This window comes from Homo sapiens, chromosome 5 (genome assembly GCF_000001405.40).
Source record: "Homo sapiens chromosome 5, GRCh38.p14 Primary Assembly".
In the NCBI taxonomy this organism is placed as follows: Eukaryota; Metazoa; Chordata; class Mammalia; order Primates; family Hominidae; genus Homo; species Homo sapiens.
In genome coordinates, this window is record NC_000005.10 from 26,707,125 (window position 1) to 26,717,066 (window position 9,942).

A 9,942-nucleotide genomic window follows, 5' to 3' on the forward strand; every position below is an offset into this window, starting at 1 on the left:
TATATACTAACTTATGTGGTTTGGCTGTGTCCCCACCCAAATCTCATATTGAATTTAAACTCCCATATTTTCTACATTTTGTGAGAGGGACACACTGGGAGATAATTGAATCATGGGGACAGTTTTCCCCATATTATTCCCATGGTAGAGAATAAGTCTGATGAGATCTGCTGGTTTTGTAAGGAGTAACCCCTTTTGCTTGGCTCTCATACCTGCCTCTATGTAAGGTGTGCCTTTCACCTTCTGCCATGATTGTGAGGCTTCCTCAGCCACATAGAACTGTGAGTCCATTATACCTCTTTTTCTTTTAAATTACCCAGTCTTGGGTATGTCTTTATTAGCAGCATGAGGACAGACCAATAGAGTAAATTGGTACAGGGAGTGGGGTGCTACTGTAAAGATACCCAAAAATGTGGAAGTGACTTTGGAACTGGGTAACAGGTAGAGGATGGAGCAGTTTGGAGGGCTCAGAAGAAGACAGAAAAATGTGGGAAAGTTTGGAACCTCCTAGAAACTTGTTAAACGGCTTTGACCAAAATGCTGATAAAGATATGGACAATGAAATCCAGGCTGAGGTGGTCTCAGATGGAGATGAGGAACTTTTTGGGAACTGGAGTTAAGATGACTCTTGCTATGTTTTATCAAAAAGACTGGTGGCATTTTGACCCTTCCCTAGAGATTTGTAGAACTTTGAACTTGACAGAGATGATTTAGGGTATCTGGCAGAAGAAACTTTTAAGCAGCAAAGCGTTCAAGAGTTGACTTGGGTGTTGTCAAAACTATTCACTTTAAAAAGGGAAACAGAGTGTAAAAGTTTGGAAGATTTGCAGCCTGATTATGCCATAGGAAAGAAAAACCCATTTTCTGAAGAGGAATTCAAGCCAGCTGCAGAAATCTGCATAGGTAATGAGAAGCCAAATGTTAAATACCAAACCAATAGGCAAAATTTCTCTAGGGCATATTAGAGATCTTTGAGGAAGTGCCTCCCATCACAGGCCTAAAGGCTTAGGAGGAATAATGGTTTAATGGGTTGGGCCCAGGGTCCCCGTGCTGTGTGCAGCCAAGGGACTTGGTATCCTGCATCCTAGCTGCTCTAGCCATGAATAAAAGGGGCCAAGGTAAATCTCGGGCCATTGCTTCAGAGGGTGCAGGCCCCAGACCTTGGCAGCATCCAAGAGGTGTTGAGGCTGGGAGTGCACAGTAGTTAAGAATTGAGGTTTGGGAACTTCCACCTAGATTTTAGAGGATGTATGGAAATGCCTGGATGTCCAGGCAGAAGTTTGCTGCAGGGGCAGGGCACTCATGGAGAATCTCTGCTAGGGCAGTGCAAAAGGGAAATGTTGGGTGGAAGCCCCAACACAGGACACTACCTAGTGGAGCTGTGGGAAGAGGTACGTCATCCTCCAGACTCCAGAATGGTACATCCACCAACAGCTTGTGCTGTGCACCTGGAAAAGCTGCAAACAATGCCAGCCTGTGAGAGCAGCCAGGAGGAAGTCCTACTTTGGTGGACTGTTGTCGTACTACCCAAAATGTCCTACTATCCAAGTTGATTTATGTATTCAAACCCTGTTAAAATGTAATCCCTATTAAAATTCCAAAGGTATTTTTCACAGAAAAAAATATTCTAAAATTTGTATAGAACCTCCCAAAACTAGAATAGCCACAACAGTCTTGAGGAAGATGTACGAATTTGGAGGCATCACACTTCCTGATTCCAGATTATGTTATAAAGCTGTAGTAATCAAAAGATCATGATATTGGAATAAAAACAGACGCATATACCTATGGGCCAGAATAGAGAGCCCATAAATAAACCCACACATTTACAGCCAACTAATTTCCAACAATGGCACCAAGAATACACAATGGGGAAAGGATTGTGTCTTCAATAAACGGTGTTGAATAAACTGGCTATCTATGTGGAAAGGAATGAAATTTGATGCTTGTCTTACATGATATACACAAAATTTTACTCAAAATAATATTAAATGTAAGACCTAAACCATAAAACTCCTTGAAGGAAACTTTGGGAGAAAGTTTTCTGACATTGGCTTTAGCAATTATTTTCTGAATAAGACTCCGAAGTACAGGCAACAAAAGCAAAAATAGACAAGTGGGACTACATCAAACTAAAAAGTTCCTGACAAGAAAAGAAAACATTCAAGAACATGAAAAGGCAACCTATGAAATGGGAGAATATATTTGCAAGCCATTTAGCTAATAAAGTGTTAATATCCAAATATATAAAGAACTCATACAACTCAATATTAGAAAAAAATCACCCACTTACAAAAAGGGCAATGGCCTTGAATATACATTTTTTCCAAAGAAGTCATACAAATGTCTAAAAAAGCACAATATCACTAATATCAAAGAAATGCAAATAGAAAACCCCAATGAGATATACCTTAAACCTGTTAGGAAGGTTCTTACTAAAAATTCAAAGGTTAACAAGTGTTGGTGAGGCTGTGGAGTAAAGGGACCCTTCTACACTATTGGCAAGGATATAAATTTATACAGCCATTATGAAAAATAGTATAGAAGTTCTTAAAATATTAAAAAATAACACTATCATATATGATCTAACAATCTCACATCTGGGTGGATATTTGAAGGTAATGAAATCAAGAACTATAAAAGCACTGAGGGGATGGTACTAAACCATTCATGAAAACTTCACCCCAATTACCTCCCACCAGGCCTCACCTCCAACACTAGAAATTACAATTCAATATGAGATTTGGTGGGGACACAGATCCAAACCATATCAAAAATTAATTTTGATAAGGCAGATAAAATATGAGATTGGAAAGGCAAATGTTATTGACTGGGGTGAAGCATCCAAAATATAGAACTGAAAATCCTGGTAAGGACTCCAAGAGATTTTGCAAACTTACTACCAAGATGGTTCCAGAAGCATGGAAAAAACTGATGCCCACCTGCTAAGTGAGGTTGATGTACAAATTTTCTGCTGGTGAAGGAAGACAATAAAATATTCAGAAAAGTGAATAAATAATGTATAAACATATCATGACAATGTTCCAAAGGAAGACTCAGAACATACGTTTATCACTGTCATAAAAGAATGTGCTAATGAAAGGGCAGCAACATCATTAAGAAGTTCAGTGGTAGCTATCTTTTTATTTTGTTTTGCACTGCTCTTCATGCAAAAACAAAACAAAATAAAAACATCTAAAAACACTAGCTAGTTTTTTTTTGGCTTCTGGAGACACCATAATCTACACCTGAGAATGCTGTTTAGGCCCATATCACAGGCGATATGAAAGGCCGTCAACTCTGAGAAAGACCTAGAGCAGAAAAGTGCGCCTCAGCTATCTCATCACTGACACTCCACTTTTGTGGAGTCTATGGTATGCCCCAGGGGGAGTACCACACCCTGTGCTACTTTTCTTAAGTTTTTTTTATTTTTATTTTTTGAAACAGGACCTTGCTCTGTTATCCGGGCTAGAGTTCAGTGGTGCAATAATGGCTCACCACAGCCTTAACCTCATGGGCTGAAGTGATCCTCCTACCTCAGCCTCCTGAGTAGCTGAGACTACAGGCATATGCCACCAAGCCCAGCTATTCTTTTATTTGTTATTTTTGGTAGATGCAGGATTTTACCCTGTTGCTCACATTGGTCTCAAACTTCTGGGCTCAAGCAACCTTGCCTCAGCCTCCAAAAGTGTTGAGATTACAGACATGAGTCACCGAGCCTGGCCAGTTGTATTTTTATATATCAGTGGCTATCAGAAATTTAAATCTAAAAAAATTACTATTACAGTAGCATCAAGAAACCATACACACAAACAGGAAGAAGACATAAATCTCATACAATATTTAACAAACCTTTATACTCAAAACACAAAAAGATTATTAAGCTATATTTTGAAAACAAACAATATTAAATATTTAAATATTATTTATATTTAATTTTATGTTTATACAATATATTATTTAAATATTAAAAATTTAAATAATACAATTTACAGTTCTACAAAAAACACCAAAGCCTTAAACAGCCAAAATAAAATGAAAGGTCAGTACCTGAAAATTACACAACATTGATGAGAGAAATTAAAGAGGAGCAAAGTAAACATAAGAATGTATCTTACATTCATATACTAGAAAATCCAATGATATAAAGATGCTTATTTTAAATTCAACTATAGGCCACACCCAGAATAATAATATTTGCCAAAATCAACATACTGGTTCTAAGATACATATGAAAATACCCAGGGCCAAAAATAGCCAAAAAAAAAATCTTAAAAAAGAACCCTAAGCTTGATAATTTACTTAAACATACTGCTATATTGAAAGACTTGTCAAAAATCTAGAGTAATTGAAACAATGTGGGATTGGTGCAAAGATAAACCAATAGAACAATGAAACAGAATAGAGTTCCAGAAACAAACTTTTAGTCATCTAAATATAATAGAAGGGATGGGTTACATAGATAAGATAGACAATGATAAAATGAGGGTGCCAAGAGAATTAAGTAAGTAAAACCAGGAGTACAGGTGACATTAAATTCACACAGAATGGAAGATACATGGATGCTTCAGAGACAAACAAGGATTGCATGGGTTTCTTAGATGATGGCTTCTAATTTTTTTATTAAACTAAATGTGAGAAGGGGGTGGATCAGACAGCCTGGGTAAGTTTATACATCCATAAAATACAAAGCACAAATCCAATTGTCTGTAAGTAGCAGTTATATGTGTCATTAATGCTGTATGGTCATTCTTGTTTGAGCATATAACATATAGCCAGGTGGGAAGTCCATTCATTGTGTACAATTGGGCATCAAGGCTGACGGAGCTGCACCATCTGGAGTGCTGTTCATTCCTGTGCACAGAGAGAGATATCTGGATGGTCTCAAACCGCCAATAAAACCTGCTGGCCCAGAAAGAACACTTTATTCAGACTTTGCTGACAAGAATGGTTATCTAGTTCCACCCCAGAGTCAATCCTATTCTGGGCCAAGAGCAGCAGAAAACCAGAAATATTTTACTAATAATGATAATGACTACCACAAACAAGAAGCTTAGAATTTCAGAGTAACTGTTACAGAGAATGAAAGAACTAATGAGGAAAAAGTTATGTTGGAGCAGGCAACACCCACCACCTAATATGGATATATAGGGACACTTGTCTCCATAATTGGATTGTAGTTTTCATTACTGCGTAACAGCTTGGTGGAAAAATGAAAAAGCATTCATTTAGAATTATCTTGAGGAAGGATTGTAAATTAATGCAAATGACATTTTTCCCCTGGGCTACTGCAAAGGAAAGATTACAATGGAAGAAACTTTATCACATTCATTTAAAAGTATTACAAGTGTTATGTTTAGTAGGATATGCAAGATAATAAACACGGAGGTGGTTGACTGGAAGAAATAGAGGATTCTAGGGACAAGGAGGTCATTTGAGTATTTGAAAACTTCCCAAACTGACCATAACTCCTATGATAAATTATTGTCCACGTCCTGAGAAATGTGTGGCTAAGGTTGGAAGTTACCCAAGTCAGCTCACAATTTTAATGGGTTTTAATGTTAAGTCAAGTTCTTCAAACCTAGTCCTAAACAGGCCAGACCACTGTGTTTCCCCTTTGCTTCCCTATTATTGTAAACCAGATCTGGGACGTGTACCCTTTCTGTAGTTCAATTACAGATGGGGCTTCTGCTTCGGTCCTTTGCAATTACCGACTTACTCAACATTATTATTTTACCAATTGATCTTTTTTATACTGTAGATCTCAAGTTTTGATCCCTGACTGGTATCTTGAAACTCCCAGGAGATATCATTAGGTATCCTTCCAGGAGAGTTGAACCAGGCTGCTGATTTTCATATGCGTTTATTTGTCATGAAATTTTATTGGTTTCCAGTTTGCTTCCTGTGCTTGCCACCTAAATATTTTGTTTGTTACTTGAATACTCTGAGACTTTCCCCTATGACATCAAATCATGTCCCTGTTTCTGAATGGATTTATAAATTACACCTTAGATTGATATCTAGCTTGCTGTATTTGGTTTGCCATTTTCTATGACTAGCCTCTCAGGGTGTGCCTTTTCCTCCATTTCCTGTCAAACTCAATCTCAGTTCTTTGTTACACCAAACTGACTTCTTTTACCGAAGACTCAAATGCTTTTCACATAAAGTCTTTCAAAGCAAGACAGTCCTTCGATACATAAGCCAGTATGTTAGAAAAACCACATTTTATACCTACAAAATAAATTTCCAACAATGAATAAAAGATACACCCTTAATATAACTCAACAATTATAGGAGAGAAAAATACTATACAAGACTAATTGTCCAAAAGGAATTACTGTAGGATAAAACATTTATAAAATTGTATCATATTTTTTGCCAGAAATATTGCTTTTAATTTTCTTTAAAATAGTATTTTCAATATTCTTTCCAGACTAACTTCTCCAAAATTAACAATATGTCAAATATAAAATATGGCAGTTATTTTTGTTTGTTTTGCCCTTCATCATAGTGCTTTATCAACTCTAACTTCGTTTTCTACATTTTCTTAGATTTTTGTGTTTGCATGCAGTTGTGTGTATGTGTGTGTTTGTTTTAAAACAGTACTAACGCACTGCTAAGTAGAAGCTAGCGTGGTACGAAGTAGGCACTAAACATATTTTATTTACTATGATAATGAATTTGGAGATAACAAGAAAACGTATTCGATCACTTCTTTTATATGATTTGATGTTTTAAAAAGACTAATTCATAAAATATTTTAATACCGTATAAGATGACAGTGTTAAAAAACTGGATCGTCAATGCCATGTGTAAATAGTTTAAGTATCATTTGTTTAGTTCGTTCATTTTTTTTTCTTTGTTTTCTTTGAGACAGACTCTCACTCTGTTACCCAGGGTAGAGTGCAATGGTGCAAAGACAGCTCACTGCAGCCTCGACCTCCAGGACTCACGTGACCTCCCGCCTCAGCCTCTCAAAGTGCTGGGATTACAGGCATAAGGCACCACACCCAGCTCCATCATTTTTAAATACTGTGTTTCTTGGTTATATTTTAAATTTAGATAAAAGGCATTGTATATGTTGTCATAAACACAAAAACTATGCCAACGTGTTTTATATCAAATTATTTCAATTTCCAGTTCACAAAATGGAGTTTCAAGTTCAAGGAAGTAATTGGCAAGAACCATAGATAACTTCTAAGCTAGAGACAAATTAAGAAAAACACATTAAAAAAAAACCTTACTTATTAGAGTTCTCTAAATCATCACTGTTCTTCATCTAATCATATAGTATTAACTAAGATTCCTAAATAATCTGATGTGAAATGCTTATGATATTTATGTATTTAGTGTCAGCATCTGTAGTGCCATGTAGAAAAGCTCTGTCTTAATAATGTATTTAAAATCACTGAGGAAGTCCACATTCAGTACCTAGGGAAAAGGCTATTGTTCTAAGTTGAAGACAGTGGTGTGATTCCCGGGAATATTTAAGAATGTTCTACTTTTTGTTATTTAAAAATAACCTTGTTACTATTCTATTAAAATGCATTTCTGTTTTCCAAGGTAAAATCATTAATGTGGATTCATAATTAATAATGAAATGACTTCAAGATCTATTGTCAAGTTTTAAAAAGTATCAAGATACTGATGAATTTGATTGAATGAATGAAAATATTTACTGTTAGGAGAAACATAAAACACACATCTTTATGCATTATGGTTTTTAAAATTCATAGAAAAATAGGAGTGGAAAGTCATTTACCAAAATGTTATATATTACAATAATAATTCCTTAAGCTTACAAAAGTAGGTTGGGTGGAGGTAAGAGAGGTTTTTAAAATCTTATTATTTGTATTAGTATTATGAGAATGAATTGTGAGCAGGTAATAAAACATAACATTTAAAAATGCTTACAGTATTTTAATTCCTAGTTCTTTAGAAACATAAAATAAAATTTCAAAATTTTCCTAAAAATAACAAATTACATAAAAGTAACTTCATTGAAAATAGAAATGCTTAGTGAGGATTACATTTACCTCAGAATAAAATTTCTTACATAAAAATTTTTAATGAAAAAGACTATTTTCTAAATACTGTTACAAGGCAATCAATATCTCCAGGAGTCTCTGAGAGCCCACAGCTTTCTCAATTATTCTTCCATTGATCCACTTGAAAAACATTATTTTCTCTAATAATTCTATGTGAACATAACTATATTATTCCCTTTACCTGAATGGCCTCTTTAATCCTGCTTTTCTTTTTAGGATACATAATGAAAAATTGAACATTCAGGAAATACAATTCATGTTATAAGGCTTTGTAGATCAGTGCCTATGAGCTACAAAATCATAAATGTTACATATACATTTTTAAACAAAATATTTATCATTAAATAATTAACTTAGTTGAATAAATTAATAGTTAACTTAGTTTAATAAATAATTATTTATTAAAGTTAGTTAAAATAATAACCATTTATTTTATTAAAATATTAATGGTTATTTACTTTGTTTTCATTTTAATAAGTATTTAATATTTTATGAACAAATATTTTCTACTTTTTATTGCTTCCCAGTGTATGAACTTTTTCACTGAGAATTATTACACTTTTTACTTCCTTTAAGTATTAAAATAATTTTCCATTAATTACAAGTATATTTATTCCATGTACTTTACAGAATAAATATTTAGATAGGAAAATTTGTTAGAGCACTCCAAACTACAACTGCCTATAATACCTCAATATAAAACTATTTCACTGTGCTCTTTTTGTGTTACAATTGATTATTAAAATACTGTAAATAAAGGAAAACAATTAGTACATAACAATGTGGTTGGCAAAATGCTTGATATGGAAAACTTGAAGAAGTTGGTAAATTCTGTAAAATGTATTTTGAAAAAAAAGTTGAAAAAAATGTTGGAATATATTGAAAAATTTAACATTTGAACTTAGGAACAAACATTAAAAATAGAAGCCAAAATGTAAATTGCCTAATTTTTATTGCCCTAAAAACATAATTTTTCTAAAGAAATGAAAATAAATTTAAATAATCCTAATGCTTCTGGCACCTCTTCAAAATCTAAGATGTCCATTTTATTAAAGATAATGATGGTTAATTGTGATAATAATGACTAATATTTGGTGAGTACCTATCATGTGCCCGACACTCTTGTATTGATTCTGTCTTGAGTCAATGACTCTTAATTCTTACAACAAACTTGTGATGAAAATACTTTTTGGCATTATTCACAATAGCAAAGACTTGGAACCAACCCAAATGTCCAACAATGATAGACTGGATTAAGAAAATGTGGCACATATACACCATGGAATACTATGCAGCCATAAAAAATGATGAGTTCGTGTCCTTTGTAGGGACATGGATGAAATTGGAAATCATCATTCTCAGTAAACTATCACAAGAACAAAAAACCAAATACGGCATATTCTCACTCATAGGTGGGAACTGAACAATGAGATCACATGGACACAGGAAGGGGAATATCACACTCTGGGGACTGTGGTGGGGTGGGGGGAGGGGGGAAGGATAGCATTGGGAGATATACCTAATGCTAGATGACGAGTTAGTGGGTGCAGCACACCAGCATGGCACATGTATACATATGTAACTAACCTGCACAATGTGCACATGTACCCTAAAACTTAAAGTATAATAAAAATAAATAAATAAATAAATAAATAAAAAATAAAAAAATAAAACAAGAGAAAAAAAAAAAGAAAATACTTTTTGATGCAAGGCCATGTAAATATTCAAATACTTTTTGTTGTTTTAAGCATGAGAAAACCAAGGCACAGTATGGTTTCAGGCCTGTCTCCAGACCTTCTGGCTTAATGTTTCCAACTTGCCCCTTGGGATTTACGCTTCTCCATTCTCCACCCTACTCTGTGACTTGAGAAGTCCCTTGCCCTTGTTTTCTGAT